The sequence below is a fragment of the Homo sapiens genome, chromosome 5, assembly GCF_000001405.40.
Source record: "Homo sapiens chromosome 5, GRCh38.p14 Primary Assembly".
Taxonomy (NCBI): domain Eukaryota; kingdom Metazoa; phylum Chordata; class Mammalia; order Primates; family Hominidae; genus Homo; species Homo sapiens.
In genome coordinates this window covers 79,492,740-79,515,225 of record NC_000005.10, presented here as the reverse complement: position 1 = coordinate 79,515,225, position 22,486 = coordinate 79,492,740, and the positions used below count along the sequence as shown (strand labels likewise).

The following is a 22,486-nucleotide window of genomic DNA, read 5'->3' as shown; positions in this document are numbered from 1 at the left end:
ATGAAGAGAAACTGAGAGGACACACTGGCATTTGCTATACGTGAACTAAGATTGACTCATTTTCCTATGTCAAAACTGCTATTTTGCAAATAAAATTACTATCCTTTATAACATTATTTCGTTTGCTTATTGCTCTGCTCTTTATTCTTTCGTGTTTCAGGTAACCACTAACAAAAAGTTTAAAAGTCGACTATGTCCAGAATGGCACTCTATAATTGAAAATTTAGGTGATTTTTCCGAAGTCCTGTTGGAAGCACATCTACCAGCAGTGTGATCAGGCTCTCCCTCCCACATTTCCCTGCTAGTCAGGACAAGAGAAGCCCGGGGGTGCTGCTGCAATAGCGGTGGGAGTGGGAGATAGGCTATTACCCGCTTGACACTGCACTTTTGCTACGAATGATTCACTCAGGTTTGGCACATTTGTTGCAAGGAAATCTCCTCCTCCCGCCGCTTCCTTGTTCGAGCTCCTCTCGGGCTGTCTCCTGTGCTTTGGCCTTTAAGGAGAAGTGAGAGCAGGTGGGCACACAGGAGCTCGCCGAGTCCTCCTCCCCCTGCTCCTTCCCTAATTTAGCAGTACTTCCGGCCGCGTGACATCATCCCCCGCACCTCGGTGACGTGAGCTGCGGGTGACGTGTGTGCGGAGAGAAGCGCGCTGACGTTGCTATTTAAAGGTCCTCCTGCGGGGAGGATGGAGACACAGCGCGAGCACCTGGTGTGGGGCGCGGAGGAGGCTGTGGCGGTCGGGAGCGGGGCCAAGAGCCAGAGGAGGAGCAGAGCGCACGGCCAGCCAGCCGCCAGCCTCTAGGGGAGGGGGGAAAAGAAGGACGAACGGACTGAGGGCCTGCCGCCGGCCCAGCTCCCCACGAGGGCCGCTCGGCCCCCCACCATCAGCCTCTCCGCCGCCTTGCGGCTGCTGCTTTCTCCCGCGGCCCGCTGCTCGCAAGGCCCGTCGGGCTCCCGGGACCAGTCCGCGCCCCAGCCCCCGGCCGCGGCTCCGCGGCGGCCACCGCCTCCCGTCCCTTCCCGCGAGCAGAGGGAGGGACCGCCCTCGCTCCCCGTTCTCTCCGCCCCCTTCCCGCCCCCCGCAGCCCACTCTGCCGCCGCGCTAGCTTCACGCCGGCGGCGCTGACCGGGAAAGCAGCACCCTCTTCTCTGCCAGCCGGCCGGCCGGCGGAGGCGGAGGCAGCGGCAGGCTTCAGGCCGCCGGGGCTGGCGCTGCTCTGCCCGGCGGTAGCCGGAGGCGGGCGCTGATGGAAGTGTGAAGAGGCGGCGGCGGGGCCCGGGGAATGTGAGGCGGCGCGTGGCGGCGGCGCGGAGCGTGAGAGACGAGGAGTAGGGGTGGGGGCGCTGGAGCGGCGGCTGCGCTTCGGCTTCGAGCCCAGCTCTCCTGGCCCCAACGCGGGCTTAGCCTCCCGCCTTGGCTCGGGCAGGCGCCCGTCGACCCTTCGGCCCCTTTCGCCCGCCCTGGAGCTGGGGGCAGGGTGCCAGTGGAAGCGTGGGGCTTGGCTCTGTGATTCATTCATTCTCCGCCGACGGGAGCCTCAGACCCGCTGTGCTCTGAAGAGAGGAGGGAAGAGGGGGCAGCCGCGAATGAAGGGCCGGGCACCAGCCGGGCTCCATTGTGCTCGGCGGCGGGGGGCGGGAAGGGGCTGAGGGAGGTGGGATCGGGTCCCCTCCTCCAGCTCTCCGGCGTGCGCTGCGCCCCCAGCCTGCTGCCAGCCTGGAAATGGCTCCGTTTATTCTCTTCGGGAGAATGAATCGATCCTGCCTAGCCTTCTCTTCGTCCTCCCCACCTCTTCTCTGCTCCGAGTCTTAGGAGGAGAAACATTTAAAAAGACAGATTCCAATGTGGAGTGCCGTGCAGGTTGCGAGCTGCCGGGTTTGCACTTCGAGGAGATTTTCCTGTGTAGTTTTTTTCCTAATGTGAGCGCAGGGAAGCCGTGGCATTACTGCTTTTGGGATTTTTATTCACGTGCACGTCGCGTTTGGTTGCTCGCTCCACCCCCGGAGACCTGGTGTGGTGGAGAAATTTGAACCCGCAGCCTTAGCTCCGAAAAGGCCGAGTTACCTGGCTCTCCCTGAGTGTCGAGGAGGACATGAGTGAAATGACCAGCGAACTCATTTTTTATAGGACTCGGTGAAGCCGGATTCTGCATTTCCCTACTTGTAGACTCATTTTGTGGAATAGAGTTGATCGCTGTCTCCTCCGCAAAGCATTTTAACTCGAATAAGCAAATGCCGCCTCTGTTTGAACGTTTTGGTATTTACAAGAGAGAAATCATTTTACCTAAGAGAACTAATTGAATTGGCAGCATCCTTGAAATACCTCCGGACAAGGATCTGGGGGTGGGGGTGGAAAAGCAACTGCGAAATAGCAGACGGAGAAATTCCTTTGGAAGTTATTCCGTAGCATAAGAGCTGAAACTTCAGAGCAAGTTTTCATTGGGCAAAATGGGGTAAGGATTTTTGTGCTTAACACAGCTTCGAATCTGTTTATGTATGTGTATTATTGAGCGGTGGTGGTGATTGTGTTTTGTGTTTTCAAACAAACTTGCCACCTTGCTAAGCTGGTCATACTTTAAAGAAATAGGCATGCTAACCTTTTAGGTTATTTTTGCATTTTTGTAGAGCGGTACCAGAGGTCATAATTTAAAAACACATATATCGTTTGTAACTTGAATATGGATTTGTGAGTAATGTTTACAAAGACAACGCATTCTACACTTTACTGGTCAGACTGCTGCATCAGTTTGTAATCAAAATCACATTATTTTAGCTTTTGCTGACGGTTATCTTTCAAAGAGAAGTACTGCATTCTCTCAGTACTTTTAGATAATCAGTTGCACAAAGGAACGATTTTAATGAGTGGTTAGACAACAGTCCTTGAAAGTGATCCAGAGTAAATTGTTGCCCTCACCGTGCCCTCTGTCTTGTCCTTGAATATTCAAAGCTAAAATGTATAGAATTGATTTACTGGGGCGTTAAAACGAAAATCTGAAATTCAGTCTTACTGATGCGGTCACCACGGTACGGGTGCATTTCGTAGGAAAAAGCTTTTTGTTTAAGGAACTTGTTCACTCCTTTTGTTTTTCGCTTTTAAGCTCAGCCCTTCAGTTTGAGTTAACAGTATCAGATCTACACCTTCCTTCGGACCCAGAGCCAACTGAGAGTGCATTTTCCAGTCTTTTATTAACTCTTCACACTGTGGGTTGATGAAATGCTAGTGACACTTCCTAATTTAAGCTGGAAACCCATAATATATTAATGGAGCAATCTGATTTCATTGACAGGTTGTCACTGCTTTTTGGCAGAAGAACTTCCAGAATTTTCTCTTTTTGTGTGTGTGTGGTTGAACAAACACATCTGAAGTGTAGTTGAGGGGCATGTTTTAAAGAATGGACTCTGCAATTCATCGTGATGGTTTAGGTGTGTACACACGCTTGAAACTTTCTGAGGAAAGTTCTTGAATAGTACCTTCCTTTTGGAGTTAGAATTTGAAGTTTAACATGCATAACTTTGAAAATTTAGAGCATGTTGTAGGAGACGTTCCTCAGAAATTAATGACAAAGTTATAATGGTTTTAAAAACTTGAATGACAAGTGATGAGAATATATATAACTTGCATGATTTGGGGGTACCGCTAAGAGTAATTAAAATACCTCATTCTATTTCTAGCGCTGCTATTAGTAGCTTAGTGATCTGAGGCAAATTACTTGACCTCTGTGGACTCTATTTCTTACCTGTAAAATGAACGATTTAGAGATGACTTAAAGATTTCTCCAAACTGTAAAAAACGAATTGCTTTCTTTTTATTCTCCTCCTCATTTTAATGATCACTAGTTGGTTTCTGCAAGTCGATCTTTCTGATGGAGACCTTTTTCACTCTAAGCAGTTTAAGCGCTTAACGCTGAAAAATAATGGCATTTGAAAAATGTTTTGGATGAATTGCACCAATTTTAAATGAGAAAAATACTGAAAAATACTACTGTTCAAAACCTTAGAAATATGGCTTCCCTTGAGCATCTGCAGCTCTGTTTAAAACATGTTGGAGGAAAAAAAATCAAGCAGCAGTTTTTCATGTTGATGGCTGCATTTTGTCTAGACTGTGGAGTAGTAGCATCATGGAAGAAAATCAGTTTTCCAGAACCTTTAAGCTGCATGAATGCCTGTCATTTTACCAAGGGAAGCTTAGGATGAATTTTTTTTTCCCTGCCTGAGGTTTCTTTGTACAAATAGCACAGGAGGACCCCAGCCCCACAGCCCCATGCAGATGGCAGCCTGGCGGGGGGTCGCACCAGTCCTGTCCTCACGTTGGCAGATAGAGATATCTACTCTGAAGCCTCTGTAGGGGCCTGGGCACCTTTGGGAGCCTGAGCTGGAACTGAAGCTGGAGCTGCAGCCTGGGCCTTGGTTTGATCCTTGTCCTTGGCCTTTGGCCAGCACACCCTGAGCCCCTTGGCAATGCGGGCACGAGCATGCTTCCCAAGCTTGGGGTGGACAGTGTAGGCAAGTTGAGCTTGCGGCTGACACCCTTTGGGATCTTGGGCTTAACCTCCTTGGGCTTTAGGAGGGCCTTGATAGCCTTGGCATGTGCACTCATGGCCTTGGCACTGTTAGCCTGCATCTTCTTTAGGCCCTTCTTGTTGTGTTTCTTGGCAAACTGCATGTTCCTCAGGAACTTGGGGTCCACCCCCTTAAGAGATTCGTATCTTTGTGCTTCGGGTTTCTTGATACCATTTCTGTGCCATTTTTGGGACTGGTTGTGTGTGGTGTGGTTCTTGGACTTGGCCATGTCTGCACCTTAAGGCGCGGCTCCTGAAGCGCCTAGAATCTGAAGAGACAGGATGAATTTAATACTAAGGGGGCTGTTGTTTAAAGTGGGAAAGTTAGCACCACACATAACATGCATTTAGACACTTAGCATAATTAATTTGTTTATAAATGAATGTATCTGCCCTTTAGTTAATAAAGTTCTATATATGGACTGAGGAGAAAAAGGAGCGAGCATTTTGTGGTGCTATTTTTTTTTTTTTGGAAAGCCTGTATTTGGGGCTATGACCCTTTCTCATTGATAGTGACTTGAGTAGAGAGAGGAAGGGTAGATGGAAGTAGAAGAGCATACAGCAAAGGCATTTGCTGACGTTTCCACACTTTATGCGTATTTATGCCTAATAAATGTTTGTGGAATTAGCATAGCTGCCTGGACCTATTTCAAGCAAAAGGAAACAGGGCTTTAAATGGCTTTTAAAGCTTTACCTTGGCAATCCATAATTACCTTACTGTAATAGATATCTAAAATTTAATACTGTGGGTAAAGTGTTTCACATATTACAACCTTCTTTTTTTAAACTAATGTTAGGTTATAATAAGGATTTATCTTCGTCTTAATTGTAGATAATTATTGCAAGTCTAGGGGCAGTCTAAGCAAAGGAATTATTTTTAATAAAATCAGTGATTGGGCAGAAAAAAATTATGGCTCCCCTAATAGTAGTTTATGAACTTTTTGGAAATGGAGAAGAACAGCTGAAACTTGACAGTTGGCAAAGTCTGTCAAAGTATCTTGGATGTTGCATGAACTGTTAATTGCAGTGAAGGCAACTAAAGTATGGGTTTGTAAAATAGGTGTATCAGATCCCCTAAAAATTAAGGCATTCATGTATGTAAAATGAAGTCTCTGAAAAGTTTTGAAGCCTCAGTGAGGAGCCCCTGTTAGGTATGACCCCCACCCCCACCTCCAAATAGTATCTCATAATGACAGCAGTGAGTCAGTAGCTATTTCAGAACTATCACAGTAGGCAACAGAAATCAAGTAACTTCAACCACTTATTTCATGAAACCCTTTGTTTTTACTTAGCTCATTTTGGCAACCTAGTGCCATCAGCAATGGTAAAGAATTCTTTCCCTCCCTTCCCTTATTAAGAGCTACTTATACATAAAATGGGGCTCTCCCTGCTAATGGAATCTGTTAATGCTGTTTCTGATTTATCTCACCTGCCTATGGGAACTTCTGGAGTCCTTCCTTCCCCTCTTTCCCCAAATAACTTCCAGAAGCATGGAAATGAGTGCTGCTACATTGCAGCCCAAACTGAGTCTCTTTGCTGAAAGATGGGAAGCTGACACCTCCTTCTGCCTCAAACTGCAGGGTTCTGCTCTCTAGGGGTTGTAGCAAAAATGTGAAAATCTTGATCCAGCACTATAAATGGGTTTTATTGCAAAGATAACCACCCTATCATATCTGACAATAGACAACTTAGATGCAAGTCCTTAATTCGTCATTTGTTCATTTTACCAACTTTGAACCTTTGTTATAGTGCGTGTACTTACCTCAGTGCTGCTGATAGGAAGGCCAATACAATGTGCTCCTTCCCTTAGTGAGTTTATACTTTGGAAGTTGGGCAGACAGTCAAGCCTAAAATTAAAATGTGCAATGAAATTTTGTAGGAGCTATAATGTAGGGCATTATGGAGACACAAAGTGTGTGTTGGGGGGGCATTAGCTGCTGAGGGAAGGATAAAAAGGCTTTGTAGAGGAGGTGATAGTTGTTAAATACTGAAAGATGAGTACAAGTGAGCCTCTTAGACAAATAAGAGGGCATTCAAGGCAGAGAGAACAGTGATTGACACCACTAAAACGAGGAACTGCAAAGGAGTTTGGCATGACAAGCTTGTTTGCTTGAGCTAGCTCCCTTTGGTGTAGCAAGAGATAGGTCTAGAGCCTTATTATGCAGGGACTGGGTTGGAGAACCATGTAGATCAAATGAAAGATTGGATTATCCTGTAGTTTAGTGTGTTTAGAGGTTTTTTTGGCTATGACCCGTTGGAAAGATAAGCATCTTTACATTGCAACCCAATATGCTTGTATATAAATGATAAAATGTCACTACATAATACCCTTGCTTTGTATGGTACACTCTGGTAGTTTCTATTCTGTTCCGTTCTATTTTATTTTTAAGATAGACTGATGATGGTGACCCACTCAATTTATTTAATGACGCTGTGTTAGCAACTGGTAATTTGAAAAGCACTTCTCTTCTGTGTGAAGATTACTAAAGGGTTTTAAGCAGAGTAAGAACATGATCAGGGAAGTAGAATAAGAAAGCAATTTTAAAAATCATTTACAATTTGGTTTTGTGTCTTGTATCCTGTGGAAACACCAAGCCAGAACAATGAACTCTGGCTGGGTAGAGGAAGTGGACAGTTGGGCAGGCCCTGGAAGGTTCCGAAGTGGGGAGGGGAGGGATGGTGACTGAGAGATGTGTAGTTGGCTGAACGGGGCTTTTTCAGAATTAGGACATTTCATTGGAGAGGTAAGAATGTAGCAAAGAGCATGGTATGTTCTTAGCAGAGTCACTAACTATGGGTCATAAAATAGTGAATTTGGGAGTTAAGGGGTTGACAGAAGAAACTGTCCTTATTCATAGTTTATAGTTTTGAGTGATTAAACATCTCAGAAGAAAAGGTGGTTATATCCCAAAAGGTCTAACCTCTCTACTGCCATGTGATTTTTTTTTTTTTCAGTCTTTAGTGTTTAGTTGAAGTATTTATTTTTAGTTACTGGATTGTTATTTCAGATTAATATGACTAACTGGACAGAAGAGTAGGGAAAATGAGTGCCGAGTGCTTAATGTTTTCTGATATAATTTTTTTCTGATGTAGTTTTTAAATGACTATAAAACATTTTACATAGATTTATATCTCAGGTCGTATCTCGTGGAATGAAATGTGCAGTTTTTTTGTGTTGCATATTTGTAATGCCTTATGACCCGTGGCTAATATTTCTGTTTGTTTTTGAAAAGTTGAGTGATTTTGAGGCATTGCAAAGTTTCAGGTCTGTTAAATATGTTCATTTCAAAAGAATCTACATGTGATAAGGAATATTTATTTAGATTTTAGCCCATCTACCATCTAGAAGAATTGAGATAAAATTTTCACATCTATCTTACTGAATGAGTATTGCAAGAGTAGGTAAAACTGTTTTTTTTTTGTTTTGGTTTTTTTTTTTTTTTTTTTTTTTGAGATAGAGCCTCACTCTGTCACCCAGGCTGGAGTGCAGTGGCGCGATCTTGGCTCACTGCAACCTCCGCCTCCCGGGTTCCAGCATTTCTCCTGCCTCAGCCTCCCAGGTAGCTGGGACTACTGGTGCGCGCCACCACACCTGGCTAATTTTTGCATTTTTTAGTAGAGACGGGGTTTCACCGTATTGGCCAGGCTGGTTTCGAACTCCTGACCTCGTGATCTGCCTGCCTCGGCCTCCCAAAGTGCTGGGATTACAGGCATGAGCCACCGCGCCCTGCCAAGAGTAGGTAAAACTTTTTAAAAGCTAATCATTCAATGGTCTTCAGTATGTGAATAAAATCATATATATATATATTTTTTTGTTTGTTTGGTTTTGTTTTTGAGACAGTGCAGTGGCCCATGCTGGAGTGCAGTGGTGCCATCATGGCTTACTGCAGCCTTGACCTCTCAGACTCAAGCAATCCTCCTACTTTAGACTCCCGAGTAGCTGGGACTATAGGCTCACACCACCATGGCAGGCTAATTTTTGTACTTTTTGTAGGCATGGGGTTTCATCATGTTGCCCAGGCTCGTCTTGAACTCCTGAACTCAAGTGATCCGTCTGCCTTGCTGTGAGCCATCACGCCTGGCCAAAATCATGTATTTTAATCTTAATTTTTACAGCACGCCTCTCCATAGTCTATAAAATTAGGACATCCATAATGACTCTCTGTTAAAAGAGTCAACTTTATTGATGAACTTATGTTCTTAATTTTAGCATTTCATACCTTTTGATACTCCTTTTTCCGTCTGTCCTGAGTGTAACACATTTGTCATTTCTGTGCTCCTTCATGAAATGTCTGAGAAAGGAAAAAAAGATGAAACTGATAAGAATCAATGCTGTTTGTTTTAAGCAGTATTTTTGAGGGAAATTATCAACACATATAATCTTTTTTGCTTTGCCTTTTTCTTCTACTTGGATTTTTTAAAATCTTGTTTTTGAAAGTTTTTATCGCTTGAACCTGTGAGGCGGAGGTTGCAGTGAGCCGAGATTGCCCCATTGCACTTGAGCCTGGGCAACCAGAGGGAAACTCCATCTCAAAAAAATAAATAAATAAATAAATAAAAGTTTTTAAAAATTTGTTCACTTCTCTGGTAAGTACAATTTAGAATTAATTTAATTTTTTTTGTCTGCTAAACATTTCAGATAATAGAATTAATTTTATAGGGTCATCTTTTTTACTATTCTTTCAGTGAGGTTTTGTCCGCCCAAAAATGGATTGTGAAGCCAGTATGGCTCTTGCGTAGCTAAAATAATTTTATACATAGAACTAACATTTGACTTAGTTAATAACTGAATCTTATTTACCCTTATTTATGTTTTTTTCTATTAAGGTAGACTACTAAAGGAAGGCAAAAAGTCATTGTTTTCTGTCTTGTATCAGAAAATAAAATTGTTTATAAAACCCCCCAAAACCAGTAATCTAATCAATGTTTTATCTTCATAGTACACTTACCTTTTCATTTTCTCTACCTTTTAAAAAATCACCTTTATCTCTTAACACCTAATATTAATATTAGCTTTAAAAATTAGCTTGGCTTTACGAACATCTTATTTTAATGTTCTTTCATAAAACAAGAAGAGTTTCAATGTTATCTTTTGAGAAGTGTTGGCACCATGTCCTCAAGGCACAAAAGTTGTAAGAATTGAGGGCTTTCTGTAAAATTACCAAGCAAGAGTTAGGTAGACATTAAATACAAACAAAAAACTGTGCTTAGGGAACACAATTTCATTACTTTACAAGATCATTGAAAGTCATGTTTATTATGTCATGTCTATTGGCATGTCTGGATCCATGTGGTCACATGCCTCAGAGTCCAGAGGCCTGTAGAGGAGAATGTCCATGATTCCCCCCCTTTCCATAGAATGGTTTGTTCCTAATTTCTCATTGTCTAGTTGGGGAGTCTTTTTTGAAACAGAGTCTTGCTGTGTCACCCAGGCTGGAGTGAAGTGGCACCATCTCAGCTCACTGCAACCTCCATGTCCCAGGCTCAGATGATTCTCCTGCCTCAGCCTCCGGAGTAGTTGGGACTACAGGTGCACCACCACACCTGGCTAATTTTTGTATTTTTGGTAGAGATGGGGTTTCATCATGTTGGTCCTGACCTCAAGTGCTCCACCCACCCTGGCCTTTCAAAGTGCTGGGATTATGGGCATGAGCTACTGTGCCCAGCCTAGTTGGGGAGTCTTAATAGAAGTCTACTGAGAGACATAGCTCTGATACATATCTCTTTGGGTATTATACGCTGTGCTTCCTAACCCACAAGTTCATAGTGCAGTACATATGTGCAATATTAGTTGAAAGGATTTGGGGGAATTAGTGCTCATAAATAGAAAATCCTGATTTCTAGCAATTAGGCCGATAGTTGGATATACCAATTATTTTTCTGATAATTTTTCTAAGTAAATTTTTGGATTCTTTTATATTTACGTATATCTCAATCTTAAGTAGTTATTGTCTTTCTTCTGTTTTATTTAAGTATTTATAAGAGTTGTTCTGAACAAGACTTTCTTTGTGTGAGTTGGAATTTTCTGCCCAGTTACTTTCTAGCTTCCCTCATTGGCTCTTAGTAATGATCTTTAGGACATGACTATCAAAGACCTCAAAATACTCATATTAGGAATTTCTATCAGTCAGTCTTCCTGGAAGATAAGTCTGTACATTCCTAAATGTATATGGGACAAATATTTTGAACCTATTATAATATTTAAGTTGCTTAGCCTATCCCTTTACCTTTCTGTGCCCTTTTTTTTTTTTTTGCTTATTCTTTTGTAAAACAGTGCTGTTTTCTTTCTTACTCTGTTATGAATCACTGTCTCATGGCTTTTAACATTAAAATTTGTGTGCTTTGCTTAATCACTCTGCCAGCTCCCAGGATGTTTACAGATTGAGGATTCCTCCTACTCTTGTTTACTGAGTATTGCCAGGGTTCTGTATACATTAAGCTCAGTGGGACTACTCCCAAGTCACTCTTAAACTCGTCTTTCTTGAGATTCTGTTGATTTAAAAAAAAAAATTCTAGATCTCGCAGGCTGCTGTTTTCCTTACCCAAGTGATGATCTGTAAGATTTTAGTTGTGTATTTCATTGTTGCTTTCATTTAGTATTTTACTATTGTTAAATTGATATTTATTGCTATGCATATGTTAGTATAGTGGAAATAGACATTAATGATGACATTGCTGTTTAATTGTATTTTGCAACATTTTAGTACAGATGCCCTTGAACAACACAGGTTTGAACTGTGTAGGTTCACTTAAATGCAGAGTTTCTTCCACTGCTGTCACCCCTGAGACAGCAAGACCAACCCTTCCTCCTCTTCCTCCTCAGCCTGCTCAATGTGAAGATGAAGATAAGAATATTTATGATGATCGACTTCCACTTAATGGATAGTAAATACATTTTCTCTTACTTATGATTTTCTTCTTTCTTTTTTTTTTTTTTTGGAGGCAGAGTCTTGCTGAATCCCACCCAGCTAATTTTTGTATTTTTAATAGAGACGGGGTTTTGCCATGTTGGCCAGGCTGGTCTTGAACTTCTGACCTCGGGTGAACCACCTGCCTCAGCCTCCCAAAGTGCTGAGATTACAGGCGTGAGCCATGGCACCTGGCCTCTGTTTTTTTTTTTTTTTTTTTTCTCTTTGTGACAGAGTCTCACTCTGTCACCCAGGCTGGAGTGCAGTGGCATGATCTTGGCTTACTGCAATCTCGCCTCCTGGGTTCAAGTGATTCTCTTGTCTCAGCCTCCTGAGTAGCTGGGATTACAGGCGCATGCTGCCAAGCCTGGCTAATTTTTGTATTTTTAGTAGAGACGGGATTTCGTGTTTTCCAGGCTGGTCTCGAGCTCCTGACCTCAAGTGATCTGCCTGCCTCAGCCTCCCAAAGTGTAGGGATTACAGGCGTGAGCCGCCATGCCTGGCCTGCTTTTCTTAATAACATGTTTTATTTTTCCCTAGTTTACTTAATTGTATGAGTACAGTATATAATACACATACAAAATGTGTTAATTGACTACGTTATCAATAAGGTTTCCAGTCAACAATAGGTTATGAGTAAAGTTTTTGAGGAGTTAAAAGTTACATGCAGGCTGGGCGCAGTGGCTCACGCCTGTAATCCCAGCACTTTGGGAGGCCAAGGCGGGCAGATCACGAGGTCAGATCAAGACCGTCCTGGCTAACACGGTGAAACCCTGTCTCTACTTAAAATACAAAAAATTAGCCGGGCGTGGTGGCGGGCGCCTGTAGTCACAGCTACTCGGGAGGCTGAGGCAGGAGAATGGCGTGAACCCTGGAGGCGGAGCTTGCAGTGAGCTGAGATTGCGCCACTGCACTCCAGCCTGGGCGACAGAGCGAGACTGTCTCACACACACACAAAAAAGTTACATGCAGATTTTTTACTGAGCATGGGTCAATGCCCTTAACTCACAAATTGTTCAAGGGTTAACTGTATATTCTGAGTAGTCAGTGTAAAATCTAGGTTGTTACATTATAGGCTATTCATGTGGTAGAAGCTATCCCAAAGAATGTTTTCAAAGATGGTACAGTGGTCAATTAGAAATCAGGATACGAAATTAGATGTTCTGTATGACCTCAAGTATATAAAATTCTGTATATGCATAAAAACGTTTGAAAGAGACTCATAAAAGCGCTACCATGTTTATTTCTGGGAGGTAAGATTGTAAAATTTTGTTTTTTAGTCTTTCTCAATCTTGTAGTTTCTCTATAATGAACATATTAAGTTTTAGAACTTCTCTTGGGTTTTAAGGGTGAGGGTATTAAAAAGAGAACTTCTCTTGGGTTTTAAGAGTGAGGGTTTTAAAAAAAATATTTATTACAGTAAAATGTTATCAGGACTGGCTGGGCGCGGTGGCTCACGTCTGTAATCCCAGCACTTTGGGAGGCCAAGGCGGGCAGATCACCAGGTCAGGAGATCGAGACCATCCTGGCCAACATAGTGAAACTCCATCTCTACTAAAAATACAAAAGTTATCTGGGCGTGGTGGTGTGCACTTGTAATCCCAGCTACTTGGGAGGCTGAGGCAGGAGAATTGCTTGAACCCAGGAGGTGGAGGTTGCAGTGAGCCAAGATCGCGCCACTGAACTCCAGCCTGGTGACAGAATGAGACTGTCTCAAAAAAAAAAAAAAAAAAATTATCAGGACCTGTTACTGTTCTTACATCTAGATACTTACATATATTTGTATCAATTTTAGCTTTATCTCAAATTTTATCTTATTCTTTTCAAGATTGGCTAAAGAAGTAGTTACTCTAGTGCTAGCAAAACTTGTTTAAATGTAAGGAGTATTTCTCTTGTCAGTTATTAGAGTATTAGCACTAAACTGTACTTTTTATGGAGAAGGAGACGCAGCCCAAAGGGAAATTGTGACTATGGGAGGTAATATAGCTTTGACATGGCAGATCATGTGCTGGATTCCCCCAGCTCCTTGGGGCTCTTACCATTAGAGCAGGTGCTCCTCAGTGAATGCTTGCATAGATACAGATTCATTTGGAGAAGGGTTTCTAACTCCTTATAGTAGTTTACAACGACTTAATTTTACTGCAAACTTAGTTTCTTATAGGTGAGTTCATTAAATGTATCTTGTTTTCCTTACAGATGGTACTGAAAAAAGCTGCATTTTAATTTTAGTGTAAGTAAGTCTCGCATAATGCATTATACAATTGTCCCTTGAACATGGTGGGGGTTAGAGGTACTAATTGCCCCACCAACTCACATTTACCTTTTGACTCTCCCAAAGCTTAATTACTAATAGCCTACAGTTGACTGGAAGCCTTATCAATAACATAAACAGTTGATTAACACATATTTTGTATGTTATATGTTTTATATGCTGTATTCGTACAATAAAGTAAGCTAAAGAAAAGAAAGTGTTATTAAGAAAAGGAGCCAGGCGTGGTGGCTCACGCCTGTAATCCCAGCACTTTGGGAGGCCCAGGCAGGCAGATGGCTTGAGCTTACCAGTTCGAGACCAGCCTGGGCAACATGGTGAAAACCAGTGTTTACAAAAAATACAAACATTAGCCAGGCTTGGTGGTACACATCTGTAGTCCCAGCTACTGGGGAGGCCAAGGTGGGAGGATGGCTTGAGCCTGGGAGGCAGAGGATGCAGTAAGCTGAGATCCTGCCACTGCACTGCAGCCTGGGTAATAGAGCCAGACCTTGTGTGTGTGTGTGTGTGTGTGTGTGTGTGTCTGTCTGTCTCACACACACACACACACACACACACAAATGGCTGGGTGCAGTGGCTCACGCCTATAATCCCAGCACTTTGGGAGGCTGAGGCGGGCGGATCACTTGAGGCCAGGAGTTTGAGACCAGCCTGGCCAACATGGCAAAACCCCATCTCTACTAAAAGTGCAAAAATTAGCTGTGTGTGGTAGCGCACGCCTGTAGTCCCAGCTTCTCAGGAAGTTGAGGCATAAGAATCGCTTGATCCTGGGAGACAGGTTGCAGTGAGCTGAGATCATACCATTACACTCCAGCCTGGGTGACAGAGAAACTCTGTCTCAGAAAAAAAAAAAGATAAAATATATTTATTGTTTATTACATGGAAGTGAATCATCTTAAAGGTCTTCATCTTCATTGTCTTCACACTGAGTAGGCTGAGGAAGAGGAGGGATTGGTTTTGCCGTCTGTGGTGACAGAAGCATCTGCATTAAAAGCCTGTTGAGACAAATATCCTTTCTCCTCAGTGATTTTCCTAATGGTATCTGGGAACTCATCTGCTACCTTTTAGTGGGCAGAAGCTGTTTTCCTGTTATCTGGACATTTTTTAAGCCAAAGCTCTTCTAATATTATCAAACCATCCTTTCCTGGCATTAAATTTTCTAGCTTTAGATCCTTCATCTTCTTTTTGCTTTATGTTATCATAAAACTGCTTTTTCTCGATTCATATTAAATAGCTGTGGTTTTTTTTAATAGTAATCCTTCACCCACATAGAAGCCACATTTTCAATATGAGATAAAAAGGTATTTTGCAAAAAGTGCAAGGTTTTTGCACCTGCTGGTATAGCTACAGAGATAGTTTCACAAATTTTCTTTTTTGCAATGGTCCTTACTCTGGGTTCTTTTAACTTGAAATGGTAGGCAACCACAGCTGCAGACCTCAATCTGCAGCACATATCAGGCAGTTCAGCTTTTTCTTGTAATAGCATGACTTTGCTTCTTGGGAGCACTTCCAGCATCACTAGTGGCACTTCATATGGGTCTCGTGGTGTTATTCAAAGTTTATGGTATTGCCCTAAAAAGGATGAAAAATATGCAAGAACCGTGATTTTACTGTTGTGATACACAATTTACTGTGGCATTTTAAGCAGACAGAACACTTGAGCTCACTGCAATAGCAACAGGAGTTAGCTACAAATTATTACAGTAGAACAGTATGTACTAGTTAATGTTATGCTATGATGTAATACTGCATCTTTACGTGTATTTGCATTTTTCTAGATGTGCCATGTATGGTCTGTAAGTTTTTTGCCTATGTTTTGATAAATTTTAATTCTTTGTAATAGATTTGTGTATTATTTTATGGTAGTAAATGAAAAAATAGACTAGAATCTACATATATTTTATGCACTCATAATGCCTTTTTCTATTTTTTTCAATACTTCTAAGGTATGCAGTTAACCTGTTTTTTCAAATTACAGCAAATCCCCAAAAATTTTTCTAATATATTTATTGAAAAAAATCAATTATAAAACATTATTGTAAGTATACTGGTGCAGTCCAAACCCATGTTTAAGGGTCAACTGTATTTTGAATACATTAAAGTACTTCTCATAAATGATTTATTACATGTGTTTGGTATAGAGTTTTCAAAGTTGATATTAAAATGTAAATTCCATCAGTCAGCTTTGTTAACTACCTTTGTAGTTATTGGGCACATGAGCCTCTGGAATACTTATGCATCTATTTACATAATACATAGGCAGGCTCTAGTTTTCTAAAGAGTTCAGACCAGAAAAAGAAAGCTTGAGACGCTATCTTGAAATATTTTTCCTGGAGCTTAAAAGTGGAGACTTGGCTGGGGACGGTGGCTTATGCCTGTAATCCCAGCACCTTGGGAGGCCGAGGTGGGCAGATCACAAGATCAGGAGATCAAGACCATCCTGGCCAACATAGTGAAACCCCGTCTCTACTAAAAATACAAAAATTAGCTGGGCATGGTGGTATGCGCCTGTAGTCCCAGCTACTCGGGAGGCTGAGGCAGGAGAAATGCTTGAACTTGGGAGGTGGAGATTGCAATGGGCCGAGATCATGCCACTTTGCACTCCAGCCTGGCGACAGAGCGAGACTCTGTCTGAAAAAAAAAAAAAAAAAGTGGAGACCTGCAAGTAGAAGGACCAATTGTAGCATATTGTACAATTTCTGAATCATCCCGAGGTAGTTGTAAGTTACTTGATTTCCTCACTTGTAAGAGAAGGTTGGACCATATTGTATCCAGATTTAAAATTATTTTTTGGAATTATTTTTCCCAGAGCTTTCAAACTCTTATGCTGCCATTGGCTGAGCAGAAAAATGTGTGATAGTATGAGGTAGAAGACAGTAGGGACTGGTGGGGACTGTAGGAAAGTGAAGAGAAGAGATCCTGCCTAAAAACATTCATATCCAGTGTATTCTTAAAACCCTCTGGCCAAAGAAAGACATCTGAAGCCTGATCCCTTATTCAGCAAACATTTTTTGAGTTCCTACTAGCAACTGTGATACTCTAATGTAGGTCAGATACAGTCAGTTTGGAAATGCTTTAACTCTTTTTTTTGAGACATAGTTTCACTCTTGTTGCCCAGGCTGGAGTGCAATGGTGCAATCTCAGCTCACTGCAACCTCCGCTTCCTGGGTTCAAGTGATTCTGCCTCAGCCTCCCAAGTAGCTGGGAATACAGGCATGTGCCACCGCACCCGGCTAATTTTGTGTTTTTAGTAGAGACGGGTTTCTCCATGTTGGTCAGGCTGGTCTCGAACTCCAGGCCTCAGGTGATCCGCCCTCCTCAGCCTCCCAAAGTGCAGGGATTACAGGGGTGAGCCACTGCACTTGGCCTGGAAATGCTTTAACTCTTGACTGAAGAAGGAAGACCAGAGCATCAGAGTCTAGTATGACAGTGGCAGAAATGCTTATTAGATCAGTGGTTCTCAATTTTGAACCTGCATCAGAATCACCTCGAGACCTTGATGAAACACAGGTTGCTGGACTTCCTTTACCACCAGAGTTTTTGATGCAGTGGGTCTAGGAATGGGGTCCATGAATTTACTCTTCTAACAGATTCCCAGGGCATGCTGATGCTGCTGGTCCAGGGAGCTTATTTGAGAGTGACTGCATTTGATAAGTGAAGCTTACAAATCAAACGTGAGAAACTTTTGTCCATTCAAAAGCTTCAGTGACTCCTGAAGCATGCTTGCTTGCTTGCTGCCCCTTCCTTTTGAAGTTGCAAAAACTAGAAGTTTGAACTAAGGGAGGAAAACTTGATTAAGCTGCCTTTTTTTTTTTTTTTTTTTTCTTTGAGACAGAGCCTTACTCTGTCTCCTGGGCTGCAGTACACGATCTTGGCTCACTGCAACCTCCGCCTCCCGGGTTCAAATGATTCTCCTGCCTCAGTCCCCTGAGTAGCTGGGATTACAGATGAGTACACCATGCCTGGCTAATTATTTATTTATTTATTTATTTATTTTTTAGTAGAGACGGGGTTTTGCCATGTTGGCCAGGCTAGTCTCGAAATCCTGACCTCAGGTGATCCACCCGCCTCAGCCTCCCAAAGTGCTGGGATTACAGGCATGAGCCACTGCACCCAGCTCTATTTTTTATAAGGGAAAATATCCAAGACAACTTGAAACTGGTCTCTAATCTTTTTAAACCTGATTACTTTTAACAGTACTTACCAGTTATGCCCATTTCTTGGTCAGAGTTCTGCTTTTTGATATTTCTGAATGTATGGTTTTAAACTACCAGATACTGCTTTGACTTCTGAAGTTTTCTGCTTTTAGAAGACATCTTACTTACTTCTATGTTATTCTGTCTAGATATCCTTAAGTTTGTCCAGTGTCGTTGAAGCCTACATGTTTCTTTCTTTCTTTCTTTCCTTTTTTTTTTTTTTTTTTTTTTGAGACAAAGTCTCACTCTGTTACCCAGGCTAGAGTGCAGTGGTATGATCTCAGCTCACTGAAGCCTCCTGGGTTCAGGCAATTCTTCTGCCTCAGCCTCCCAAGTAGCTGGGACTACAGGTGCATGCCACCACAACTGGCTAATTTTTGTATTTTTTAGTAGAGATGGGGTTTCATCATGTTGGCCAGGCTGGTCTCGAACTCTCGGCCTCAAGTGATCCACCCACCTCGGCCTCCCAAAGAGCTGGAATTACAGGCATGAGCCACCGTGCCTGGCCAGAAATTTTTCTATTCGCGGAATTATCTTTCTTTTGTGTTCCTTTCTTGTTCGTTTAGTTTCTTATTTCATTTTGGAAACTATTCTGGAATATCTGGTGAGCCTCAGCTGTGTATGATAATAAAAAGGTGATTAAAAGCTTTTTGTGAATCAGTGAGGCCTGTCACTGGTGGACTTCATCTTAGATATTTAGGTGGTGAACTGGCTAAAATTCTTTTGGCTGGTCCCCAAGTTTGGGGAGGTCTATTGTCTAAGATGGTAAGTTTTTCTATGACACTTCATTTTCTTTAGAGGAGACTCTTCCAATGTAGAGTTCTAATCTTGACATTCTGAGAGCAAGGTAAGTATATTCTTCTGTTATATACCTATGAGGCATATCATCTGCTGTAATCTGAAAGCCAGGAATGGGAAGGTTTTTGCGGGGACAGGGTTCTGTTTGCAGCCTTTCTCCTGGTGCTCCTATTTTAGGCCCCACTCCTGTCTTCTGCTATTGGAAAAGGTAGTTGATTGACTGTGGGAAGGGGTGGGAATTTCATTGCTCTGTTATTTAAACTTTCAGTCAGTTCCTCCATTTCAGTCGCATACTTCACACCTCCTCTGCAGTCCCTTTGCCTCTAAATTCTAGCCAGCAGGTTGTTCACTTAGTTCCCTCTTTGCAGGCACTTTTATTATAGTTTCCTTGGTTTTGTCAAACCAGGCACCATTCCTTCTATTTTCCATCTTTAATACATTTTGAAAACTGTATTAAAGTTACTTAAGAACTGCTGCTGCTTTTTACAGTCTTTGGTGTTATAGGTTTATACCTTTTTTTCCACTCCCCTTAACTTTCATTTTAGTGGAATTTTGGAAAAGGAAGATAAATGAGTACAATTAATTTGCCATGTTTGACCAGAATCACCGAGCCCTTAGCTTTTGAATTTCTATAAGGCATCTTTCAGAATGTGTTGACACTGTTGACAGTTAATTGATTGGAATTTGGCGGATGATAAAGTGTTGGCTTTCTAAAAATCTCTCCCTGTAACCAACACCTGAAAAATCAATGCATGATGTAAGCACATGTTAAAATTAAAAACTTAAAATTGATCATCAACCCAAACCTAAGGAAAACAGAGCACTGACTCAGCTGTGTCAGGTAACTAAGGTGTTGCTACAGTCTCCTAACACTGTGCCTCATGAGCATTTGTAAAAAACGTTAAGCACTTAATTTGTGTCGTGAGTCATGCCAGGCACTGGTAGTACAAAGATAAGTAGATAGCCATGTAAACAAAAAATTACAATACTGTGATTTAAGTGCTGTAATAGAGATGTATGTTGTGTTTGGTAGCACAGAGAAGGAAGTGCCCACCTCCACCTTGGAAGGTCAGAGAAAGCTTCACATAGCCAGTCATGTTTGTTTTGAGCCTTAACAAACAAATAAGAGTTGGGGGAGGGGAAGATGTATGAGTGGTTGTTAGGGTATTTTAGGTAGAGAGGTGGCATAGGTAAAGCTTCAGAGGTGAAGTATGCTAATTAGAAAGTTAAGGTAGTTAAGGGAGATGTGACTAGAAGGATAGAGGCCAGATCATGACTATGTCATGTTAAGAGGATTGTACTCTTCCTCTAGATTAATGGTTTTCAAATATTTTTGATGCAGTACCCATATCAAAGATTTTGAACATCTTCCTTCATATGTGTATATTTATAAAATTACATGTATTCTTTGTGTTAATATATATAGATATTTAATGTGTATATAATAAAACATATAAAAATAGAAATGATAGAGGAGAATAGTAACTTCTTCCTGCATATGACTTTAGAAGCTGTTAAGTAATGGTGAGCAACAGAACAATTTTAAGTTGGTAGTTATTACCATGCTTGCATTTTAGATCAACTACTCAGGCTGCAATATGGAGGAAGTTTTGGACTTGGAGAAGGCAAGAGTTTCACTCTTGTTGCCCAGGCTGGAGTGCAATGGCACGATCTTGCCTCACTGCAACCTCCTTCTCCTGGGTTCAATCGATTCTTCCGCCTCAGCCTCCCGAGTAGCTGGGATTACAGGCACCTGCCACCATGCCCGGCTAATTTTTGTATTTTTAGTAGGGATAGAGTTTCACCATGTTGGTCAGGCTGGTCTCGAACTCCTGACCTCAAGTGTTCCACCCGCCTTGGCCTCCCAAAGTGTTGGGATTACAGGCATGAGCCACCGCACCCAGCTGAAACACTCAAATTTAATTGCAAGATAGGTTAATGGCAGCAATTTAGTCAAGAGTAATGGCTTGAATTGAAACAGAGTAGAACAAGGCTTGAATTCAAGAGATTTAAGTAGTAATGTCTACAGGAGTTGACAGTGATCTAGATAGATATTATGAGGTAAAAGAGATTGCCTTGGTCAGCCATTAGTTGATAAAGGGAACCAAGAGGAGAGAAACAAGTTTGTAGCAAGGTGAGATGACAAATTGAAGGAACCTTGAGATATTTGTCGTCAGCCCCGTGGGAATGCTTTATAGTTGGATATTATTGGTCTGGTATTCAGGAAAAGAGAACTGGGCTGAGGATAGAGTTTTGGGAATCAGAATGTGTAATTTTTGGTTGGAGCTATGAATGTGGATGAGCTCATGCAGGGTATTTATAGAAAAGAGCAGATCAGGCATCTCTGGGAATAGTCATTTAAGGGGCAGCTGAGAAAGCTGTCAGGTGAGAATAGTGTCACAAGAGCCAAGAAAGGGAGTGAGTTTCAAGAAATGAGTAGTAGCCAGGATCACATGTACCAGAAACATCAAATGAGGCAAGAAATAATTAGATTGGATAAGTAATGGTCCTTTAACAATCTTACCTTGAAGTTTGAGAAGTGTAGGGTGGAAATCAAATTGCCATGAAGTGAAGGTGTTGAAGGATGAGGAGCAGACACTAGAAATGTGTCTGCTTCTCCTTTAAGACCAAGCATCTTTGAAATAGTAGCTCAGCAAGCTCTAGGGTTCAGGAAATTCTTTTGGTTTTGTTTACAGAATGGGATTAAGCATTCCTTTTAGGATCTGGCAAAGGAGTCTGTGGCAAGGTGTATTTAAAATATTAGAGTAGAGAGGGATAATTATTGAGAAAGAGATGGGTGAGAATGCAATATGGAGCACAGATGGAGGAGTTAACCTTCAGTAGGAGAAATATTGTCCTCATAGACCGAAGGAAAGGATATGAATAGTTTGTAGGTTAAAGAAGGAGACTGAGGGAATTCCTTAGCTGATGGACTCTGTTTCCTCCATTCATTCATTGCTTTAACAAACATTCATTGATTACCTGTTATGTGTCAGGCGGTGTTCTAAGTATATGAGATCTGTGAACAAAGAGCCTTGCCTTCATGGAGCTTACATTCCAGTGAATGATAAAAGGCAGGGCCATCTGCTAAGTGTAGGGATATAAAGGTTGGTCAGAGCCTTGGGAATAGAGGGAAGAATGGGAGACAGTGCTGAGGAGCTTAAAGGTCCCAGCTGAGATTAGAAGCCACACATTCTGGTGTTCTTGAAGCCGTCTAAATCTAGTTATTATTGTACCTGAAGAGCACAGTAGAGTTAGAAGGGTTTTCATTTTCAAGCCAGGTGCGGTGGCTCAGGCCTGTAATCCCAGCACTTTGGGAGGCTGAGACAGGCGATCGCCTGAGGTCAGGAGTTCAAGACCAGCCTGGCCAACATGGCGAAACTCCGTCTCTACTAATAATACAAAAATTAGCCAGGTGTGGTGGTGCATGCCTGTAGTTCCAGCTACTTGGGAGACTGAGGCACGAGAATTGCTTGAACCTGGAAGGCGGAGGTTACATTGAGCCACGATCGTGCCACTGCACTCCAGCCTGGGCAACAGAGTGAGACTCTGTCTTTAAAAAAAAAAAAAAAAAAAAAAAAAAAAGACAAAGTTTTCGTTTTCTTCATTCTGCTGAAAATGAAGCAAGAAGTGGGTATATGGCATTTTTGTAGTGTTCTATTCTGTTATTTTAATATACGTATCACTTTTTCCCCCCTTAGCGGCCCCTTTCCTTCTATAAAGAACATTTCTTATCTTGGAAGACCAACCTAA

The 22,486-nt window shown here is 42.1% G+C and overlaps 1 protein-coding gene and 1 pseudogene across 4 annotated transcripts in view, besides 3 other annotated features; one reads left to right on the top strand and one right to left on the bottom strand.

Annotated features, from left to right (window-relative positions):
- Positions 268-815: an enhancer, noted in NCBI's record as "NANOG-H3K27ac-H3K4me1 hESC enhancer chr5:78810234-78810781 (GRCh37/hg19 assembly coordinates)". NCBI's record gives its function as "activates a minimal SCP1, AML or CMV promoter by ChIP-STARR-seq in naive H9 embryonic stem cells {active_cell/tissue: H9 hESC(naive)}" and the evidence as "EXISTENCE:reporter gene assay evidence [ECO:0000049][PMID:30033119]".
- Positions 370-559: an enhancer, noted in NCBI's record as "active region_22725". NCBI's record gives its function as "activates an Ori minimal core promoter by ATAC-STARR-seq in GM12878 lymphoblastoid cells {active_cell/tissue: GM12878}" and the evidence as "EXISTENCE:reporter gene assay evidence [ECO:0000049][PMID:35858748]".
- Positions 810-1,519: a silencer, noted in NCBI's record as "silent region_16132". NCBI's record gives its function as "represses an Ori minimal core promoter by ATAC-STARR-seq in GM12878 lymphoblastoid cells {active_cell/tissue: GM12878}" and the evidence as "EXISTENCE:reporter gene assay evidence [ECO:0000049][PMID:35858748]".
- Positions 1,092-22,486, top strand: part of HOMER1 (homer scaffold protein 1) — a 141,499-nt gene continuing 120,104 nt past the window's right edge. For 2 of the 4 annotated variants that reach the window (NM_004272.5, XM_017010059.3), the window contains exon 1: positions 1,092-2,456. In NM_004272.5, coding sequence (NP_004263.1) covers positions 2,452-2,456 — 5 coding nt within the window. In that variant the 5' untranslated portion in view covers positions 1,092-2,451. The remainder of the gene's footprint in view (positions 2,457-22,486) is intronic. The other 2 variants (NM_001277077.1, NM_001277078.1) reach the window with 1 other exon arrangement.
- On the bottom strand, positions 4,209-4,839 carry RPL29P15 (ribosomal protein L29 pseudogene 15; annotated as a pseudogene).